The sequence below is a fragment of the Homo sapiens genome, chromosome 1 (assembly GCF_000001405.40).
Source record: "Homo sapiens chromosome 1, GRCh38.p14 Primary Assembly".
In the NCBI taxonomy this organism is placed as follows: Eukaryota; Metazoa; Chordata; class Mammalia; order Primates; family Hominidae; genus Homo; species Homo sapiens.
In genome coordinates, this window is record NC_000001.11 from 247415394 (window position 1) to 247437772 (window position 22379).

At 48.1% G+C, this 22379-nt stretch overlaps 1 protein-coding gene across 20 annotated transcripts in view, besides 2 other annotated features; it reads left to right on the forward strand.

Annotated features, from left to right (window-relative positions):
- Positions 684-22379, forward strand: part of NLRP3 (NLR family pyrin domain containing 3) — a 32741-nt gene continuing 11045 nt past the window's right edge. For 2 of the 20 annotated variants that reach the window (NM_001243133.2, NM_004895.5), the window contains exons 1-7: positions 780-800; positions 2660-3684; positions 7837-7956; positions 8454-10206; positions 14192-14362; positions 18710-18880; positions 20577-20747. In NM_001243133.2, the coding sequence (NP_001230062.1) occupies positions 3408-3684; positions 7837-7956; positions 8454-10206; positions 14192-14362; positions 18710-18880; positions 20577-20747 (2663 nt within the window). In that variant the 5' untranslated portion in view covers positions 780-800; positions 2660-3407. Of the gene's footprint in view, positions 704-779; positions 923-1019; positions 1654-2659; positions 3685-7836; positions 7957-8453; positions 10207-14191; positions 14363-18709; positions 18881-20576; positions 20748-22379 lie in introns of those variants that run through there. The other 18 variants (XM_047443539.1, XM_047443533.1, XM_017000181.2 and 15 more) reach the window with 18 other exon arrangements.
- Positions 8650-8813: a silencer, noted in NCBI's record as "fragment chr1:247587345-247587508 (GRCh37/hg19 assembly coordinates)". NCBI's record gives its function as "represses an EF-1alpha promoter that drives an FKBP-Casp9 reporter gene in an ReSE screen in HepG2 liver carcinoma cells {active_cell/tissue: HepG2}" and the evidence as "EXISTENCE:reporter gene assay evidence [ECO:0000049][PMID:32094911]".
- Positions 19995-20104: an enhancer, noted in NCBI's record as "active region_2869". NCBI's record gives its function as "activates an Ori minimal core promoter by ATAC-STARR-seq in GM12878 lymphoblastoid cells {active_cell/tissue: GM12878}" and the evidence as "EXISTENCE:reporter gene assay evidence [ECO:0000049][PMID:35858748]".

The window sequence follows — 22379 nt, forward strand, 5'->3', positions numbered from 1 at the left end:
CACCCTTTTACAGGTATGAGGCACAGACAGACCCAGTCATTTGCTGACATCCCTCCACTGAACTGGGTGCTCGTCCTTTTCACTCACCCAGAGGCTGAGCGAGTGCCTCTCACCCACCAAGCTCTGTTGAACTTGTGCCTTTGCCGGTCTGTGGTCCTGCGGCCGTCTCATGAGCTGCAGAGTAGGTCTGTGTGTGTCTCTCCTCAAGCTACTCAAGCTGAGGCTTTGTGTGCATGCCTGCCACATACCAGCCATTCCGTGAGTGTTAGTGGAACAGGTGAGTCAATGAGTCAGGGAGTAAAATTTGTGCTTTAAAAGTAGAACATGTCGGAGAGAACCTGTACTGCCTTCCAGCCATCTTGCTGTGAGAGGACAGGGCATGGACTCTGGAGTTTGAAGGCTGGGTCAGGTCATGCTCTGGATTCTTTACTCACTCGCATGGCATGTCCTTAGTTTCACTTCCCTCACTCTCAGTGGAGCCGTTGCAGCGGGCAGTGTCAGAGGCAACATCCATTTAGCACTGCCGATTTGACCCCCAGCCCCATCTCATACTGGCCTCCCACCCTGCTTCTGTGGGGTGCCTCAGAGGAGAGCAAGGTGAACCCCAGTATGGAACCGAGACACGGTTTTGACAACACTGTTGATCCCATTTGGAAAATCCAGCTATGTGATTAACCATTAGTCTCTCTGCCTCTGCTCTGATGTAAGTGGAGACCACATCCTTCCTGCCCCTTCTGGGGCTGCGACTGCTATAAATTCATTGCATTTCCTCTCTAGCTGTTCCTGAGGCTGGCATCTGGGTAAGTCCAGCTCCGCGGGGCAGTGTGGGCGACAGGACCGGGAGAGCAGTGGGGGAGATTGTGTTCAGAGGGCAGAACTTGTCCTGGTTAATGCACTAGGAATTTCTTCTGGCGTCTCCAAGGTTGTGCTTCAACAACATTTCTGGAATGTTCTTTTATCATTATTTGGGCTCTACGTGTGCAAGTTCGTGTGTGTGTATGTGGCGGGGGGAAGCGGGGAGGACAGCGGCAGCAACCATAGTTTACACCCACGACTTCAGCAGATTTGCCCAGTATCCCTCCCAGGGGAGAAGATGGATGGGATATACAGAAGGAAACAAACCTCCTTAAAGACCAAAGGGCAGCAGATTTTTGTGCTGGTGTTAGGGTGGAAGGAGCACAGAAGAAAGGCAGAATCCTGATGCAGATGGAAGGACTGATGGGGCAGGAGCTGGGAGGGTATGCGGAGCTAATAGGGCTGTCTGGAGAGCAGTCACCTCAGGATGGGCAGGAGCTGGGAGGGTATGCGGAGCTAATAGGGCTGTCTGGAGAGCAGTCACCTCAGGATGCACAGGGCTGGGTTTGCAGGGCTCAGGAGGCGAGGAGTAGATAGGCAGGAATGGAGATGGGACGGGAGAGATGAGTGAGTCTGAGGCATCTTGACATTGAACTGCAGTCACAGAAATTCCAATTTGGAGAGCTCCACCGTTTTCCAGGCTCTCTGCCTCCCTTGAGTGTTATTTATGGCTTTAGGTTGAGGTGCTTTGCCAAATAGAGTATAATCAAGGGATCAAGGAGGGAACAATTCCAAACAAAGCCAACTTGTTCATCCATCCGGACTCTAGGAGATATGGAAGATCTAAAGATACAGCAGGTGATTGCTAGTTTTTGTGGAACTCACAGTCTAGTTGGGAAGACTATGTTGGTGAATGCTGCAGTGATACACCTGTGATAAATGCTGGGGAAGTGTGTCTTTTAGTCATCTATTTTGTTGTCTTTGTCTTTGTCTGACTGAAACAAGTGATGGAAGACATGGTCTCATATCTCTGGTCAAAATCCTGGCTCTGTTCCTTCCTGGTTCTAAACCCCTCGGCAGGCTTCCTAGTCCCCCTAAGACTCAGTTTATGCATCTATAAAATGGGGCTAGGAATAGGTGCACCTCATAGAGCTCTGTGCAGGTTAGATGGGGAAAAACATCAGTGAGTGCCTAGCCTGTGGAAAGCTCTAAATTAATGTGAATTATAATGATAACAATTGCGAATTTTGCAAGGAGACATTAAAGGATGTATGTTTTTATTTATTTTATTTTATTCTATTTTATTTTTTGAGATGGAGTTTTGCTCTTATTGCCCAGGCTGGAGTGCAGTGGTGTGATCTTGGCTCATCGCAACCTCCGCCTCCTGGGTTCAAGCGATTCTCCTGCCTCAGCCTCCCGAGTAGCTGGGATTACAGGTGCCTGGTACCATGCCCGGTTAATTTTTGTATTTTTAGTAGAGACGGGATTTCTCCCTGTTGTTTGGTGAGCCTGGTCTCCAACTCCTGACCTCAGGTGATCCGCCCACCTCGGCCTCCCAAAGTGCTGGGATTACAGGGATGTATGTTTTTATTATTCTCCATTATGCACTCCCAGCTTCATCTCACTTCAATCCACTGGTTGATAGAAGTGCAGTCAAAGACTGTCCCCTCCTCTGCAAGCTTTTATGTTCTCTCTCCTCTCTCCCTAGCCACGTCCTGTTCTGTTATCAACACACTTACTCACCTCCTGGCCTTCTCCTTCTATTGTCTCTCATCCCTCTTCCCTCACAAAAACAGAAGCAAAGAGCCAGAGCCTTCAGTTTGGAGGAACTGAAAACATTCTCTTCTGCTTTCTCATTTTGTAGATGAGGAAACTGAAGTTGAGGAATAGTGAAGAGTTTGTCCAATGTCATAGCCCCGTAATCAACGGGACAAAAATTTTCTTGCTGATGGGTCAAGATGGCATCGTGAAGTGGTTGTTCACCGTAAACTGTAATACAATCCTGTTTATGGATTTGTTTGCATATTTTTCCCTCCATAGGGAAACCTTTCTTCCATGGCTCAGGACACACTCCTGGATCGAGCCAACAGGAGAACTTTCTGGTAAGCATTTGGCTAACTTTTTTTTTTTTGAGATGGAGTCTTGCTGTGTCGCCTAGGCTGGAGTGCAGTGGCGTGATCTTGGCTCACTGCAGCCTCCACTTCCCGGGTTCAATCAATTCTCCTACCTCAACTTCCTGAGTAGCTGGGATTACAGGCGCCCGCCACCACACCCGGCTCATTTTTGTACTTTTAGTAGAGACACAGTTTTGCCATGTTGGCCAGGCTGGTCTTGAATTCCTCAGCTCAGGTGATCTGCCTGCCTTGGCCTCTCAAAGTGCTGGGATTACAGGCGTGAGCCACTGTGCCCGGCCTTGGCTAACTTTTCAAAATTAAAGATTTTGACTTGTTACAGTCATGTGACATTTTTTTCTTTCTGTTTGCTGAGTTTTTGATAATTTATATCTCTCAAAGTGGAGACTTTAAAAAAGACTCATCCGTGTGCCGTGTTCACTGCCTGGTATCTTAGTGTGGACCGAAGCCTAAGGACCCTGAAAACAGCTGCAGATGAAGATGGCAAGCACCCGCTGCAAGCTGGCCAGGTACCTGGAGGACCTGGAGGATGTGGACTTGAAGAAATTTAAGATGCACTTAGAGGACTATCCTCCCCAGAAGGGCTGCATCCCCCTCCCGAGGGGTCAGACAGAGAAGGCAGACCATGTGGATCTAGCCACGCTAATGATCGACTTCAATGGGGAGGAGAAGGCGTGGGCCATGGCCGTGTGGATCTTCGCTGCGATCAACAGGAGAGACCTTTATGAGAAAGCAAAAAGAGATGAGCCGAAGTGGGGTGAGTGGAAGGAAGACTTTTAAAAAAAATTGTGGCCAAGTGCACATAGTGTACAATTTTCCATCTTTATATATATATATATATATATTTTTTTTTGAGACGGAGTTGCTCTTGTTGCCCAGGCTGGAGTGCAATGGTGAGATCTTGGCTCACTGCAACCTCCACCTCCCGGGTTCAAGCGATTTTCCTGCCTCAGCCTCCCAAGTAGCTGGGATTACAGGCATTGCACCTCCACGCCCGGCTAATTTTGTATTTTTAGTAGAGATGGGGTTTCTCCATGTTGGTCAGGTTGGTCTCAAACTCCCGACCTCAGGTGATCCACCCGCCTCGGCCTCGCAAAGTGCTGGAATTACAGGTGTGAGCCACCGCGCCCGGCCGTAATAATTTTTAAATGTACAGTTCAGTAGTGTTAGGTACACTCACATTGTGCAACCAGTCTCCAGAACTGTTTTCATCTTGCAAAACTGAAACTCCTCACCCATTGAATGATAACTCCTCATTGCCTCATTCTCCCAGCCCTGGTAACCACCATTCTATTTGCCATCTCTGTGAATCTTACTACTCTGGGTACCTCATATAAGTGGAAACATACAGCATTTTTTCCTTTATGAGTAGTTTATTTCACTCAGCATAATGTCCTCCGGGTTCAACTATGTTGTAGCATGTGTCGGAATTCCCTTCCTTTAAAAAAGACTGTATAAATACTCCATGGTACCATATACCAAATTTTGTTTAGTTATCTGTTGATGAACACCTGGATTACTTCTACCTTTTTGTTATTGTTAATGCTGTTATGAGTGTTGGTGCACAAATATCTCTTCAAGACCCTGCTTTGAATTCTCTGGGGTATATACTCAGAAGTGAAATTTCTGAATCATACGGTAATTCTGTTAAATATTTTGAAGAACTGCTCTACTGTTTTAGATACCATCTGCACCATTTCCCACCAACAGCACACAAGGGTTCCAATTTCTCCATATCCTAAGAACACGTTATTTTTATTTATTTTTTCTTTTTTATAGTAGCCATTCTAATGAGTGTGAGGTGGTATCTCACTGTAGTTTTGATTTCCGTTTCCCTAATGATAAGTGATGCTGAGCACATTTTCACTGCTTGTTGGCCATTTATAGAGCTTCTTCAGAGAAAGTTCTGTTCAAGTTCTTTTCTCATTTTCAGACCAGGTTTGGCTTTTGTTGTTGCCTTGTAGGAGTTCTTTATGTATTCTAGATATTAACCCCATATCAGATATATGATTTACAAATATTTTCTCCTATTCTGTGGGTTGTCTTTTCATTTGGTTAACTGTGTCCTTTGATGCACAGAAGTTAGTATGATTTTTTTTTTTTTAAATCATGGCCGGGCATGGTGGCTCATGCCTGTAATTCCAGCACTTTGTGAGGCTGAGGTGGGTGGATCACCTGAGGTCAGGAGTTCAACACCAGCCTGGCCAACATGGCAAAACCCCATCTCTACTAAAAATACAAAAAAAATTAGCCGGGTGTGGTGGTGGGCACCTGTAATCCCAGCTACTCAGGAGGCTGAGGTAGGAGAATTGCTTGAACATGGGGAGTGGAGGTTGCAGTGAGCTGAGATTGCACCACGGCACTCCAGCCTGGGCTAAAGAGCAAGACCCTGTTTCAAAAAAAAATTTTTTTTTCTTGTATTGTCTTGGTTTTTTCTCTTTTCCCCTCTCACGGTAGTGCTATGAGAAGGTGGAGGCAAACTGTTTGCTTTCTCTAACTCCTTTAAAAAGCTGATGCAGACTGTACCTACCCCCTGGGCACCTGCCATGATTAGTCCCTCTTTATCTGAATCTCAGCAGTGCCTAGACCTGCCTCCAATTCTCCATCCAGCTTCTCAGACCACATGTTTTGTCCAGTATCTGCTGTGTGGTCAGCAGGCTTGGGCCTCTGCTTCCTATGGCCCAGAGGGCAGCCTCTCTCCTTGAAGAACCGTGGAGTTTGGGGCAGAAGCCTTTCCTTTCACCACCACTTTGGGAATTGGAATGTAAAAGAAATTCTCTTAATCCCCATGTACACATTGGGGATAAGGTTCTTTCTTTTGTCTTGTGTTCTAGGCAAAGGTAGGGCTCAGAGAAGGGCAGGGTATTGCAGGATGATGATGTAGAGCTGGTGGTGATGGGAAGGAGGAGTACAAATGAGTCAGTGGATAGGGAGACACATGTTAAGGCAGGGCAGCAGTGTGGGTGTAATGACACTGGGGAAACAGACAGCAGTGTGCAGCCGGGGGAGGTCAGAAACCAGTTGCTGCAATGGCTCTCACCTGTAGTCCCAGCTACTCAGGAGGCTAAGGCAGGAGGATCGCTTGAGCCCAGGAGCTCAAAACCAGCCTGAGCAACATAGGGAGACCTCATCTCTAAGTAAATAAAGCAATTATCATTGTGTCAGTACTTATATACTCACATACCCAAATGAAAGTGTCATAATCACAACTGTAGAAGTACTTTGCTAAGCAGTTTTTATGGATTTTATGGCACATTCAAGAAACCCATGAAACAGCTTCTGGTATTATCCCTCCTGCAAGTGAATGAGGTGAGCCTGGAAGAGATCCTAACTGGCCCATGGTTTATTTCTAGCCATAACCAGAGCTGGGGTAAAAAGCAGGGCATGTCTCTGATCAAAGCCTGGCTCTTAACCACTACACCGTCTTTGCTTCCATATCTGGATTTTGAGGCAGAAAAGTTATAACTAGGGTTAGAAGTTTGTTTGTTTGTTTCCTGGGGTGGGGTTAGGTTTTAGGTAATAGACTTTGGCTAATTTACTGTCATGGCTCCTACCTGAGTCCCAGTTACTCAGGTGGCTGAAGTGGGTGCATCACTTGAGCTCAGGAGTTCCAGGCTGGAGTGAGCTATGACCATGCCACTGCCCTCCAGCTTTGGAAACAAAGCAAGACTCTGTCTCTTAAAAAAAAAGAATAAGATTTTGGTTTTGGCTTAGATTTTTTGGATTTTATTTTGTGATATGGTTACCAAGTAGACAGCTGTCAGAGGTCTTTTATGGGCTGGGCGCAGTGGCTTATGCCTGTAATCCCAGCACTTCAGGAGGCCAAGATGGGAGGATTGCTTGAGCCCAGGAGTTTGAGACCAGCCTGGGCAACATAGTGAGAACCTGTCTCTACAAAAAATGCAAACATTAGTTAGGTGTGGTGGCACGTGTCAATAGTCCCAGCTGTTCTGGAGGCTGAGGTGGGAGGATCACTTGAGCCCAGGAGGTTGAGGCTGCAGGGAGCCATGATTGTGTCATTGCACTCCAGCCTGGGCAATAGAGTGAGGCCCTGTCTCAAAAAAAAAAAAAAAATCATTTATGTTACTTGTAGATTCCTGCCCACCTGAAGTTATCTGTCTTATATATTTCCCCTAGTGACTAACTCTTGTTTTACCTAACCTGAATTTCTCCTATAGAATGCCTTCTTAAGATATGCTATCTAGTGACTGTTTGGATTTGTGATTCTCAACACAGATGCATGTTGGAATCACCTGGGAGCTTTTAGTATGTGATGGTTCCTGGGCCTCACCTCAGAGGGACTGAAAAAGAACCTCTGGGCGTGCAGTCCTGAAGTCCATATTTTTAAAGCTTCCTGGGTGATTCTAAAGTCAGCCAGGATTCCCAACCACTAGATTAGGCACGAAATAGACTGGTCGTTCTCACTCTTGAAGAACCAGACATCTAGACTTGACAATAGAAGACGTGTGTAAAATGGATTGCAGGGAACTGCGGTCAGGGAAGGGTGACCTTTCTTAGCCCACAGCCGTGTTGGGGATATAGGAGAGCTTGGAGATGCCCTCACAATCAGGCTGCCAGGGGCAGGCAAAAGCAAACGAGGGTAAAAGAAACTTAGCCTGCTTCGCATGTTTGCTGATTGATTTCCAGGCCTGAGGAAGAGATTCTGAGACTGGGGACAGTGGGAACACATGCTTGGCAGGTGGACAGCAGAAGTTGTTTTGAAACTAGGAGTGCAGAAATGCTCCCAACCAGACTTTTGACTGGATACCTGTCCTCTGCAACTCAGAGCCATGTTTTGATTTGGGGGATGTTTGGGGTCTCCTCTCTCATGCCAAATATTAGGCCAGGTTTCAATTGCATCCTCTGTGATAATAGTTCTGGGTTTTGACACCTTTTTTTTCCCTTTTAGGTTCAGATAATGCACGTGTTTCGAATCCCACTGTGATATGCCAGGAAGACAGCATTGAAGAGGAGTGGATGGGTTTACTGGAGTACCTTTCGAGAATCTCTATTTGTAAAATGAAGAAAGGTAAGCGACTGGGGTGGTGCTTCTAGTTGAGTTTTAAGACCTGGTTCAGGAGGCTCTGGGAAGCTGAGCAGCTGGGTAACTTGGCCATACTATAGGTTCCTGCTCTTTGGAATGCAAAGGCCTGTCTCAGGAAATCCATTGTCAGTTGAAGAAACAAATTCATGTTTGTGTGGCTCTTGCAGTCCCAGAGCCAGCGGCGGTGATTAAGCGTTTCAAGTTTGATAAGGCATAGGATGCAGATTACTTAAAGGAATAAGATTGATTCAAATGATCTTTGGGCTGGTAGCTACACATAGAGATGGGCCTTCTGCTCAGCTGTGTATCTTAAAAACTTGACACCAGAGATTCTCGGCACCTTTCCTACCCAGTGGGGAGGAGCTGCACCTTCCATTTCTCCATTCCGGTTACCACTCGCTTCCGATGACAGGCCCCAGCTGAGAGCGCATCTCAGGTGGATGTGTGTATACTTTCCCCCTAACTTCCTGTCTTTGCCGTAGATTACCGTAAGAAGTACAGAAAGTACGTGAGAAGCAGATTCCAGTGCATTGAAGACAGGAATGCCCGTCTGGGTGAGAGTGTGAGCCTCAACAAACGCTACACACGACTGCGTCTCATCAAGGAGCACCGGAGCCAGCAGGAGAGGGAGCAGGAGCTTCTGGCCATCGGCAAGACCAAGACGTGTGAGAGCCCCGTGAGTCCCATTAAGATGGAGTTGCTGTTTGACCCCGATGATGAGCATTCTGAGCCTGTGCACACCGTGGTGTTCCAGGGGGCGGCAGGGATTGGGAAAACAATCCTGGCCAGGAAGATGATGTTGGACTGGGCGTCGGGGACACTCTACCAAGACAGGTTTGACTATCTGTTCTATATCCACTGTCGAGAGGTGAGCCTTGTGACACAGAGGAGCCTGGGGGACCTGATCATGAGCTGCTGCCCCGACCCAAACCCACCCATCCACAAGATCGTGAGAAAACCCTCCAGAATCCTCTTCCTCATGGACGGCTTCGATGAGCTGCAAGGTGCCTTTGACGAGCACATAGGACCGCTCTGCACTGACTGGCAGAAGGCCGAGCGGGGAGACATTCTCCTGAGCAGCCTCATCAGAAAGAAGCTGCTTCCCGAGGCCTCTCTGCTCATCACCACGAGACCTGTGGCCCTGGAGAAACTGCAGCACTTGCTGGACCATCCTCGGCATGTGGAGATCCTGGGTTTCTCCGAGGCCAAAAGGAAAGAGTACTTCTTCAAGTACTTCTCTGATGAGGCCCAAGCCAGGGCAGCCTTCAGTCTGATTCAGGAGAACGAGGTCCTCTTCACCATGTGCTTCATCCCCCTGGTCTGCTGGATCGTGTGCACTGGACTGAAACAGCAGATGGAGAGTGGCAAGAGCCTTGCCCAGACATCCAAGACCACCACCGCGGTGTACGTCTTCTTCCTTTCCAGTTTGCTGCAGCCCCGGGGAGGGAGCCAGGAGCACGGCCTCTGCGCCCACCTCTGGGGGCTCTGCTCTTTGGCTGCAGATGGAATCTGGAACCAGAAAATCCTGTTTGAGGAGTCCGACCTCAGGAATCATGGACTGCAGAAGGCGGATGTGTCTGCTTTCCTGAGGATGAACCTGTTCCAAAAGGAAGTGGACTGCGAGAAGTTCTACAGCTTCATCCACATGACTTTCCAGGAGTTCTTTGCCGCCATGTACTACCTGCTGGAAGAGGAAAAGGAAGGAAGGACGAACGTTCCAGGGAGTCGTTTGAAGCTTCCCAGCCGAGACGTGACAGTCCTTCTGGAAAACTATGGCAAATTCGAAAAGGGGTATTTGATTTTTGTTGTACGTTTCCTCTTTGGCCTGGTAAACCAGGAGAGGACCTCCTACTTGGAGAAGAAATTAAGTTGCAAGATCTCTCAGCAAATCAGGCTGGAGCTGCTGAAATGGATTGAAGTGAAAGCCAAAGCTAAAAAGCTGCAGATCCAGCCCAGCCAGCTGGAATTGTTCTACTGTTTGTACGAGATGCAGGAGGAGGACTTCGTGCAAAGGGCCATGGACTATTTCCCCAAGATTGAGATCAATCTCTCCACCAGAATGGACCACATGGTTTCTTCCTTTTGCATTGAGAACTGTCATCGGGTGGAGTCACTGTCCCTGGGGTTTCTCCATAACATGCCCAAGGAGGAAGAGGAGGAGGAAAAGGAAGGCCGACACCTTGATATGGTGCAGTGTGTCCTCCCAAGCTCCTCTCATGCTGCCTGTTCTCATGGGTAAGGAAACTCGGCTTCCAGGTGCTTCCTCCTGCTTCCTCGCCAGCTTCTTCTTGGCGCTTGCCTCCTCTCATCTCTTTTCAACTATCTTCCAAATACTGTTGCCACAGCTACATCATAATGCCACCACTGTCTGTTTGAGACTCCTTCATGAGCAAAGATTGATGTATGGTAGGTGGATAAATGGGATGAGGAAAAAAAAAATAAAACAAGGAACAAATGTTTGGGGAATGCCAGTTTAGCACAAGGTATTAAGTAGGATGTAGGATTGCCTACAAATATTTGTCAACTGAAATTTCTTGTAAGCTACTTGGAGCACTAGTGCCTAAGAGTCAGTCAATGTCTGTGGGGCAGAACAATGCCAGAGAGTCTGTGTCCCAGGAGCGAGGGGACAGAGGGCCTCAGAGCTGGAGGCTGGGGGGATGTTTCTTAGAAATGTGCAATCTAAGCCTCCTTTAAGGAATGGTGGGACCTGGGCGCATAGAGAAGAAATTAAAGGAATTCTGCACTGAAGACTGGTATGAGCCAAATCATGAATGCAGTCTGAGAAAAAGTGTGTGCAGGTGACAGTGGAGAGAGACACAGTTTCCTTGGAAAAAAACATGATGAAGGTAAATCAAGGGAAATAGAGCAGAAATGTGGAGACCCTCTTTCTAGGCCCCCATGTTGCTCTGCACTGGGCATTGCCAAAACCCCGTTTTCGGGTCTGTTCACACACTTGCTGGGTGGTTGGAAGCTAGTGGCCAAGTCTGTGCAATGAAGTGGTTGAGTCACCTGACTTCTGAGTCCCTTTTGGGTTTATCGTTCAGTGCCTCCTGCAGAAGGACCACCCACAGTGGTTGTAGGAAGGTGGCCACCCTGTGATGTGTGAGTTTAGCCTGGATAGAAGACACTTGACGTGGGGCAAAATTAAGGGAAACAGGAGGCTTGGCCCTTCCACAGGCAACAATGAGTTTCAGCTTTCTTGATCCGTTGACATTACCATGACCAGGACCACCTTCCTAGTCATGGTTTGGCCATGAAGGACTGACTGCCCACAGGGCCGCAGTGGTGGTGAAGACCCAGGTCCTGGTCACAGGGACTTGAGGTCTGGCTGTGGGACAGTCCGGAAACAAGTGCAGATGTCGGGGAGGGGGTCATGGGCTCTGACAAGGAAACTTGCAGAGTATCCAAAGCACAAGGGGACGAACCTGTTCACCAGCGGGGCACGGGTGGGTGTCCCCGCTCAGCCAGCTTCCGGAGGATGGGCAGTGAGAGAGTGAGAGAAGGAAAGGGGCAGCCAGGCTGGGGGCTTACGGTGTTGAGAGAGAGGGCAGGTGTGGGAAAGCAGGGTACGGTTTCTACGGCAGCAAACAGTTCCGAGTGACTGGAAAAAAGACAGTTGTCTTCATTCATCAGGTTGCCATAACAAAACACTGCAGGCTGGTTGGCTTATAAGCAAAAGGAAGGTTCACCTTACGGTTCTGGAGGCTGGGAAGTCCATGATCCAGGCTCTGGCAGATCTGGTGTTTGGTGAGGGCCTGTTCCCTGGTCGATGGTGCCTTCTCACTGTGTCCTTACATGGTGAAGAGGCAAGGCAGCTCTCTGGGGTCCCTTTCCTAAGGACAGCAATCCCACTCCTGAGGGCTCCACCCTCATAACTTAACCACACCTCAAAGGCCCCATCGCCTGATACGTCATGTTGAGGGTTAGGATTTCAGCGTATGGATTTTGGGGCACACAAACATTCAGACCATAGAAATGGGAGAAGAAGAGTAAGACAGAGAGAAAAGTAGGCAGAACTACTCATTAAGAGTGAGGTGGAAGGTGGAGAGGGCAGGGAGACCTTATGAAGATCACACATCTGTGAGGAAGGTTTGCACACTCTCACTGAAGCCCCGGTAGGAGGCTCAGCACCCATTTCTCTAGATAGCACCTTCCTTCCTCTGAGGACAGATTCTGACTGGAGCCCTGGTAGGGGGCTCAGCACCCATCCCTCTAGATGGCACCTGCCTTACTCTGAGGACAGACTCTCACTGAAGCCCCGGTAGGAGGCTCAGCACCCATTTCTCTAGATAGCACCTTCCTTCCTCTGAGGACAGACTCTGATTGGAGCCCTGGCAGGGGGCTCAGCACCCATTTCTCTAGATAGCACCTTCCTTCCTCTGAGGACAGACTCTCACTGAAGCCCCGGTAGGAGGCTCAGCACCCATTTCTCTAGATAGCACCTTCCTTCCTCTGAGGACAGACTCTGATTGGAGCCCTGGCAGGGGGCTCAGCACCCATCCCTCTAGATGGCACCTGCCTTACTCTGAGGACAGACTCTCACTGAAGCCCCGGTAGGAGGCTCAGCAACCATTTCTCTAGATAGCACCTTCCTTCCTCTGAGGACAGACTCTGATTGGAGCCCTGGCAGGGGGCTCAGCACCCATTTCTCTAGATAGCACCTTCCTTCCTCTGAGGACAGACTCTCACTGAAGCCCCGGTAGGAGGCTCAGCACCCATTTCTCTAGATAGCACCTTCCTTCCTCAGGACAGACTCTGACTGGAACCCTGGTAGGGGGCTCAGCACCCATCCCTCTAGATGGCACCTGCCTTACTCTGAGGACAGACTCTGACGGGAGCCCTGGTAGGGGGCTCAGCACCCATCCCTCTAGATGGCACCTGCCTTACTCTGAGGACAGACTCTGACTGGAGCCCTGGTAGGGGGCTCAGCACCCATCTTTCTAGATGGCAGCTGCCTTACTCTGAGGGCAGGAGCTTGCTTTGTATGTTCCAGTCCCTTCTGAGAACCAGAAGCCTGAGCATCTATTAGAAATGCAGGATTGTGGACCCAATCTTAGACCTAGAGAGCTAGACTTTGCATTTGAATGAGAGCTACAGGTGATTCAAAGGTGACTGCATGTGTGGGTGCAGTGGCTCTTGCCTGTAATCCTAGGTTTTGGGAGGCCAAGATGGGGGGATTGCTTGAAGCCAGGAATTCAAGTCCTACCTGAGCAGCAAAGTGAGAGCACCTCTCTACAGAAAAACAAAAGCAAAAATGTGACTGCATGTTGGAGCCACCTGGCTTTTTTTAAATAAAAAAGATCCATATAGCTGGACACAGTGACTCGTGCCTGTAACCTCAGCTACTCGGGAGGCTGAGGCAAGAGGATTGCTTGAGCCCAGGAGTTTGAGGCTGCAGTGAGCTATGATCATGGCACTGCATTCCAGCTTGGGTTTCATCTGAAAAAAAATTTAAAAAATTCATCTAGTTCCACCTCAGAGCTTCTGATTTTATTTCCATGGATGTGGCCTGGGCTTGCGATTTTCTTTTTCTTTTTTTTTTTTTTGAGATGAAGTCTTGCTCTGTTGCCCAGGCTGGAGTGCTGTGGCATGATCTTGGCTCACTGCAACTTCCACCTCCCAGGTTCAAGTGATTCTCCTGCCTCAGCCTCCCTAATAGCTGGGATGACAGGCTCGTGCCACCACACCCAATTAATTTTTGTATTTTTAGTAGAGAGAGGGTTTCACCATGTTGGCCAGGCTGATCTTGAACTCCTGACCTCAGGTGATCTGCCCGCCTCGGCCTCCCAAAGTGCTGGGATTACAGGTGTGAGCCACCATGCCCAGCCTGGCCTGAGGATTTTTGTGAGCACTCCTGATGCTGTTGTGTAGCCAGGAGTGAGGACTGCCCTCTGATCACCCAGCACAGAACGTTCAGGGCCATGTTGGGACAGTGGACTGGTAAGGGCGAGAGGAGGACACTGGGGAGCAGGCTGTAGGGTGCCACAGTCCGCCACAGTCACAGGCTCATGCTCTCCGTCCGAGAGGAGGCAGAACTGCTTTTACCAAGGCTCATCCAGCCCTCTTCATTTCTCTGGGAACAATTTTTGGTTTCGTGACCCATTTCTTAATCCCCGGAAGGCATTTCTCTGAACTGGTGCCAGGCACCCCGGCCCCCAGCTCCAGTTAGTTATTATTCGAGGCTGATTTCTTTTCTGTCTGTCTTCCTTCTAATTCCTAGATTGGTGAACAGCCACCTCACTTCCAGTTTTTGCCGGGGCCTCTTTTCAGTTCTGAGCACCAGCCAGAGTCTAACTGAATTGGACCTCAGTGACAATTCTCTGGGGGACCCAGGGATGAGAGTGTTGTGTGAAACGCTCCAGCATCCTGGCTGTAACATTCGGAGATTGTGGTGAGTCCCCGTGCATGTGATCTGTGTGAGTGCAAGTTCATATGAGAGAGAGAGAGAGAAACAGACTGGAGAAAGATCTTCAGGACCAGGTTGCTGGTGTGGTTTCTTTCTTTTCTTTTTCTTTTTTTCTTTTTTTGAGGCAGAGTTTTGCTCTTATTGCCCAGGCTGGAGTGCAATGCCGTGACCTCGGCTCACTGCAATCTCTGCCTCCTGGGTTCAAGTGATTCTCCTGCCTCAGCCTCCTGAGTAGCTGGGATTACAGGCACCCACCACCATACCCAGCTAATTTTTTGTATTTTTAGTAGAGATGGGGTTTCATCATGTTGTCCAGGCTAGTCTCGAAGTCCTGACCTCAGGTGATCCGCCCGCCTCGGCCTCCCAAAATGCTGGGATTACAGGCATGAGCCACCGCACCCGGCCGGTGGTGTGGTTTCTGCTGTAACAAAGTGCCACAGACTGAATGGCTTCAACAACAAAAATTCATTTTCTTGCAGTTCTGAGGCCGAAAGTCTAAGATCAAGGTGTCAGCAGGGTTGGTTTCTTCTGAGGCCGCCCTCCTTGGTTTGTAGATGCCCCCTTCTCCCTGTGTACTGATGCCATCTTGCCTTGGGGGGAAGAGTGGCCTAGTCTCCTCTTCTTACAGGGACAGCAGTCCTGATGGATTAGGCACAGTCAGGCATGACTACACAAGACCTAATGTTAATCTAGTCACTCCTTTAAAGACCCCATTTCCCAAAACAGCCACATTATGAGGTCTTGAGGATTAGGGCTTCAACATGTAAATTTTTGGGGGGGCACAGTTCAGCCCAGAACAAGTGAGAAGGTAGAATGGGTTGGAGGCCAGCTGGGGAAGTTTTGTGTGGGGAAGAATGAATGAGGAACTAAAAAAAAAGTCATTTCTTGAAACAACCATGATGCTCGATATATTCCATTTCCTCATGGGCCATGTTCATAGATGAGAGTTGGAGAATTTGCCATTTACAACAATGGCAACCTCACCTAAAAACTATGAAAATACTTTTTTTTTTTTTCTTTGAGACAGGACCTCTCTCTGTCACCCAGGCTGGAGTGTGTGATCACAGCTTACTGCAGCCTCGACCTCCCAGGCTCAAGCAATCCTCCCACCTCAGCTCCCCCGAGTAGCTGGGACTACAGGCATGCACCACCATGCTGGCTAATTTTTGTATTTTTTTTGTAGAGATGTGGTCTCATCACGTTGCCCAGCCTGGTCAGAATGCTTTGTATGGGTTGAAATGTCACAGGGAATCTCCTGTGACTTTATTAATAATGTGCTTGCTCACACCTGTAGTCCCAGCTACTCGGGAGGCTGAGGCAGGAGAACTGTGTGTACCCGGGAGGCGGAGATGGCAGTGAGCCGAGATCGTGCCATTGCACTCCAGCCTGGGTGACAGAGCGAGATTCCATTTCAAAATAATAATAATAATAATAATAATAAAAAATGTGCTTGCTTTCTCCCACACCATGAATCAGATTCACACGCCCCACCGCGCTGGTGCCTGGGCCGCCTCACTAGCTCTGTTTCATTCCCTGCTCTGTGGACGCATGCAGGCGTCTGCATTTTTGAGGAGCTGCACAGCAAGTGTTAAAGTCCGCCACTCTAGGACATTTTGCTACCTCCCTCTCCGGCTCAACACACTCACCTTGTCACCAGTCTTATCAATTTTTCCTCCTACCCGAGCTGTTTTCCACTTTTCCTCGTCCTCACCCCACCAGCCCAGGTCCAGCAACTGTCACCACTTGCCTGGACACGCAGTGACCTCCTAGACCATCAGCTCCCCGGGGATGGGGTTTGCGTTTGTTTGTCTTGCTGTCATCTTTGCCACGCCTGGACAGACATCTTAGTACCCATCAGTGGTCAAAAGCACGCACTGAATGAATGTTGGCTCTTTGGTCTCCCTGTGTCTGCCTTTTTCCCTCACCCGACCATTCTCTGCACAAAAGTAAGATGGTCCTTTAGAAAATTCTGATTCGATTGTGCTGTTCGGTGGCTTAAATGCTTTCTGTCTGCTCTGCTCTTTATTTTTTACTTTATGTATTTATTTTTGTAGATGTAGGGGGCGCAAGAGCAGCTTTGTTTCATGGATATGTTACTGCACAGTGGTAGTGTCTGGGCTTTTACTGTAACTACCCCTTTTTTTTTGAGATGGACTCTCGCCGTGTTGCCCAGGCTGGAGTACAGTGGAGTGATCTCGGCTCACTGCAACATCCACCTCCTGGGTTCAAGCAATTCTTCGAGTAGTTGGGATTACAGGCATGGGCCACCACGCCCAGCTGATTTTTGTATTTTTAGTAGGGACAAGGTTTCACCGTATTGGCTAGGCTGGTCTCAAACTCCTGACCTCGTGATCCACCCGCCTCGGCCTCCCAAAGTGCTGGGATTACAGGCGTGAGCCACCGTGCCCGGCCTTAGTGTAACTCTTACCCAAATAGTGAACATTGTACCCAATAAATAATTTTCCAGCCCTCACCTGGCTCCCACCCTCCCACCCTTCTGAGGCTCTAGTGTCTATCATTCCATGCTCTATGGATGTTACCCTTTGTTTAGCTCCCACTTGTAAGTGAGAACGTGTGGTATTTGACTCTGTTTCTGAGTTGTTTCACTTAAGGTAATGGCCTCCAGTTCCATCTGTGTGGCTTCAAAGATGTGACTTCATTCTTTTCTATGGCTGAGCAGTATTCCATTATGTATATAGATCACACTCTTCATCTTTGCTCTTTTGGTAAATTTCAAATCGTAGTGCCATGGAGACTGGTTGTTTGGGACATTTAACCTTATTTCTCCAACTTCATGCCCAAATTCTCTCCCCACTGCCATTGCCCCTGTATGATTCTGGAGAGGCAGACACAAACAGGGAAGGGTAGGGGACAGTGAGATGCTTCGCAGAGAAGTAGAGATCCATTTGTCCATTTGCTTGAAGTTGGTGTAAGGATAGGGACAGAAAGGAAGGTGGTCTAACAGGCTCCAGGACCTATGAACTATTGCCCTGGAAAGAAGCTAGAATGTTGTTCTTGCCCCCATGACAGGGATAAAGTATAGTTTTTGTTGCTGGTGGTGGTGGTGACGGTGGTAGTGATGTGCGTGTGTGTTTGTGTGCATGTGTGTGACGGGGAAACTAATCAAGAATCAGAGCTGCAGCGGGATGTGGAATCCCAGCACTTTGAGAGGCTGAGGTGGGCAGATCACCTGAGCCCAGGAGTTCAAAACCAGCCTGAGCAAGCTGGTGAGACCTTGTCTTTAGAAGATAATAATAATAATAAAAATAAAATATAAATAAAATAAAATGGCTAAGCATGGTAGCACATGCCTGTATTTGCAGCCACTTGGGAGGCTGAGGCAGGTGGATCCCTTGAGCCCAGGAGTTCGAGGTGGCAGTGAGCTATGATCTCGCCAGTGCACTCCAGCCTGTGCAACAAAGTGAGACCCTGTCTTTAAAAAAAGAAAAGAAAAGAAAAGAAAAAGAATCAGAGCTGCTTTTCCTTTCAATATAGATGGAGGGCTGGGATGAAATCGTCAAACACAATGGGGTGACAATGTTGGTGAAGACAAGAAATAGCTGAGTGCAGCACTGGCGAGGGCAGTGCCGACTGCGGGCACGTCAATGGTTAGGAACACGAGGGAAGGAGGTGGGTGCACAGGCCCACACCGCCCGCTTCACTTACAAACCAGGAGCGCACCATTCACATGTCTGGGGGGTGATCTCAATGCACCCGGCACTGTTTACGGCCGGGAGTTCACTGACAGGTGATCCCTCTGCTGTGACTGGGGAGACTGGGGGCTGACCTCCCAATGTGCCTTGTGCTGTATTCCGGAGCTCTCTGGTCAGGTGTATTCTGATGCTTTCTCTATTCCAGAGCTCTCTGGTCAGGTGTGTCCTGATGCTTTCTCTATTCCAGAGCTCTCTGGTCAGGTGTGTCCTGATGCTTTCTCTATTCCGGAGCTCTCTGGTCAGGTGTGTCCTGATGCTTTCTCTATTCCGGAGCTCTCTGGTCAGGTGTGTCCTGATGCATTCTCTATTCCAGAGCTCTCTGGTCAGGTGTGTCCTGATGCTTTCTCTATTCCAGAGCTCTCTTGTCAGGTGTGTCCTGATGCTTTCTCTATTCTGGAGCTCTCTGGTCAGATGTGTTCTGATGCTTTCTCTATTCCGGAGCTCTCTGGTCAGGTGTGTTCTGATGCTTTCTGTATTCCGGAGCTCTCTGATCAGATGTGTTCTGATGCTTTCTCTATTCCGGAGCTTCCTGATCAGGTGTGTCCTGATGCTTCCTCTGTTCTGGAGCTCTCTGGTCAGGTGTGTTCTGATGCTTTCTGCCTCTGTTCTTGGCATGAAGGTTGGGGCGCTGTGGCCTCTCGCATGAGTGCTGCTTCGACATCTCCTTGGTCCTCAGCAGCAACCAGAAGCTGGTGGAGCTGGACCTGAGTGACAACGCCCTCGGTGACTTCGGAATCAGACTTCTGTGTGTGGGACTGAAGCACCTGTTGTGCAATCTGAAGAAGCTCTGGTGAGTCGAGCCCGTTCCCCTAAGGAAGTTCTGCCAGCGAGGCGTGCTGCGCACTCTGGCTTCAGTGAGGCCCGGTGGGCTGGGGTTTGAGTGAGAATGGCCTTGGCGGCTCGGGTGACTGCGTGTGCTTGTCTTGGGGTGTCTAGCATTGCGGTCAGTGAGTGTTTGTCGTGGGGAAAGCCACACACTCAACCCTGACAAGGAGCATAAATAATAACAAAAAGAAGATGTCTGCCTTTAGGGTGCCTACTGCCTAGCTGACAAAAAGAAAAAATCAGTGTAATGCATTGCTTTAGAGGAGTTTTAGAACTTCATGACAAGCCCTGGGTCCTCATATTGTATAAGAAAAATGGTGCTAAAGCAATGCAGACCCTCGATGTTGTATGCAGCCCTTCCCTGAGTGCTTCTGGGAGACTTGCATTTTGAAGGAGAGAAAAAACCACTTAAAAATGGAAGGGCCATTTCTCACCCATTAGGATGGCTATTATCAAACAAAAGCAAGAAAACTAGAAAACAACAAGTATTGGTGTGGGTGCGGAGAAATGGAAGCCATTGTGTGTTGCTGGTGGGAATGTAAATGATGCAGCCACTATGGAAAACAGCACAGCAATTCCTAAAAAATAAATACAGAATTACTACTGGAGCCAGCATTTCCACTGCTGGGTATATCTGCAAAAGAGTTCAAAGCAGGAACTCAGCCAGGAGCGGTGGCTCACACCTGTAATCCCAGCATTTTGGGAGGCTGAGGCAGGTGGATCACTGGAGGTCGGGAGTTCGAGACTAGCCTGGCCATCATAGTAAAACCTTGTCTCTACTAAAAATACAAAAATTAGCCAGGCATGGTGGTGCATGCCTGTAATCCCAGTTACTCGGGGTGGAGGCAAGAGAATCTTTTGAACCTGGGAGGCGGGGGTTGCAGTGAGTCAAGATCCCGTCACTGTACTCCCGCCTGGGTGACAGAGGAAGCATTAAAAAAAACAGAAGGCAGGAACTCAAACATGTTATTTGTACATCTATGTCCATAGCAACACTATTAGAAATAGCCAAAAGGTGGAAATAACCAAACGTCCTTCAACGGATGAAGGGTGTTGAAAAGTGCTATATATGTACATTCAGCTTTAAAAAGAATTCTAGTACACACTACAACATGGATGAGCCTCGGGGACATTATGCTAAGTAAGATAAGCTAGACTCGAAAGGGCAAATACTCTGATTGTCCTTATAGGAGGTGTCTAGAACAGACAGATTCATAGAGACAGGAAGAAACGTGGTTGCAGGCAATGGGAGGGCGGAGAGTGGGAAGACATTGTTTAATGGTTATGGAGTTTCAGTTCTGCAAGATGAAAGGAGTTCTGGAGATGGTGGTGGTGATGGTTGCACAACAATGTGAAGTGCTTAAGGCCATTAATTGTGCACTTAAAAATGGTTAAAATGGTAAATTTTATTTTACACGTATTTTACCACAATAAAGCTGAATGTAGGGAGCTGGGAAGATGTAGTATTGGTGGGAGCTTGGAGAATGCTTACTTGTTATTCCACCAAATGGAAAAGGAAATCAGAAGTGTACATAGAGCTTGTGTCCACTCCCTTTCCATGTGTAAACTGGAGTAGAGGCAGTGGCAGGTACGGGTGCTTCCTTGTCCATGGTGGAGCGTGGGTGAGAGACATGACTGACATTCTGCCATCTCTATGGAAGGTTGGTCAGCTGCTGCCTCACATCAGCATGTTGTCAGGATCTTGCATCAGTATTGAGCACCAGCCATTCCCTGACCAGACTCTATGTGGGGGAGAATGCCTTGGGAGACTCAGGAGTCGCAATTTTATGTGAAAAAGCCAAGAATCCACAGTGTAACCTGCAGAAACTGGGGTAAGTCTTCATGGGTGTCTTACCAGAAAAGTAACTTCTTTTCAGAGGTGAATTATTTGGAAAATGTGGATGGGGGTTACTTTGGTCAGGCAGAGCTGAAGGTAGAGTAAGGAGGTAAAAACATCAGAAATGCTTTGAAGGACTGGAGGCATATAATGTATACTGCTGCTAATAAGATAATTTATGCTAATTTATGATTATAGAACTAGAGTTTCTTAGTGTTGGAAGAAACCTTAGAGATGGTGCAGCCCAATTGCCTGTTGAGGGAAAAACTTGCTTCCAAGACACTCACATGAATAGTCACCCATTTTATGTGTGCATGCTTGCAAGCATGCAAGTTATCGCATAGTGCATGCAGCCTCTACACTAGGAAAGAGCTCTCACCCTGCAGCCTCTACACTAGGAGAGGACTCTTACACTGCAGCCTCTATATCCTCAACAGTGTCATGGCTCAGCACCTTCACCTATGTAGCCATGCTCTCCCAGGTACACAGGCTGGTTTGTTAGTGTCTGTCTTTGAAATGTGGTGCCCAGACCTGATGATGCATGGTGGATGTTTTACCTCCTGTTGCAGAGAACTATGGTTTCACTGGTGGAATCTCTGATTTCCTTGTTTTTTTTGGCAGTTACATAAGCCTTTTGATTCATGTTGGAATTCTGCAGTAAACAGTAGTAGGGAATACCCACTAATAATCATGCACTTTCCCTGTACCACTTTCCTGTATCACTTTCCCTGTATCACCTGCTCTTTCATGTTCTTACATGGATTTTCTCAGTTGGCTTCAGAAAGATGCTATAGGGTAGGGTATCTGTGTCTCCAATTTAAAGAGGAGAAAATAAAATTCAGGGAGCCTCATAACTTTGTCCAAGGACACTCAGAGAGAAGGTAGTGGAACTCAGTGTAGACAAACGTCTGTGACCTCCCAAGCCACTGCCTTAATTCCCAGTGCATTGCCTTAGGAGATGTTGCTAATGGGCTCTCTACAGGGCTTCTTCATCTGGCTCTCAGCTTAAGGGTGGGACCTCCAATTTAGCTTTGCTAAACCTCATCTTACCTGTCTTTTGACCCATTGACTAGGCAGTTTTGAATCTTCATTCTGACAATAATATCTACAAATACAATAAGCAAATTGGATAGGTCTTCATTCATTCACATTATTAATATATATACCAGCCAGATCAGCATTCAAGACAAAATTTGGCAGGAAAGGTCTTCCCAGAGGAGTAATCCACTAATCCATAATTAACAACCAACCTCTGTTCACAAAGCTCTGATACTTCCTTGGACCTCTCCCATCAGCCAATCCTCAGATGTGACCATATCTCTTTCTATGAAGTCTTCCTGCAGTGCCTTCATTTCCTCGCCTTAGGGTATTACCCTTCCTTAGCAAATCGCCTTAGAATATTACTCTTCCTTGGCAATTTGACTTCTGCTTCTCTAAGTTTGTTCAACAGACATGATTTTGTCCCTTCATTTTGCAGGCCCTCTGGGGGCTCTGTGGTGGGCACTGACAGCAGCAGTGAGTAAAACAGACCAAAATCCTGTTTTCACAACCGTTCTTTTAGGGAAGTGATAACAGATAATAGACATGCTAAACAATATACCCTGTGTATAAGAGCTATAAGAAAAAC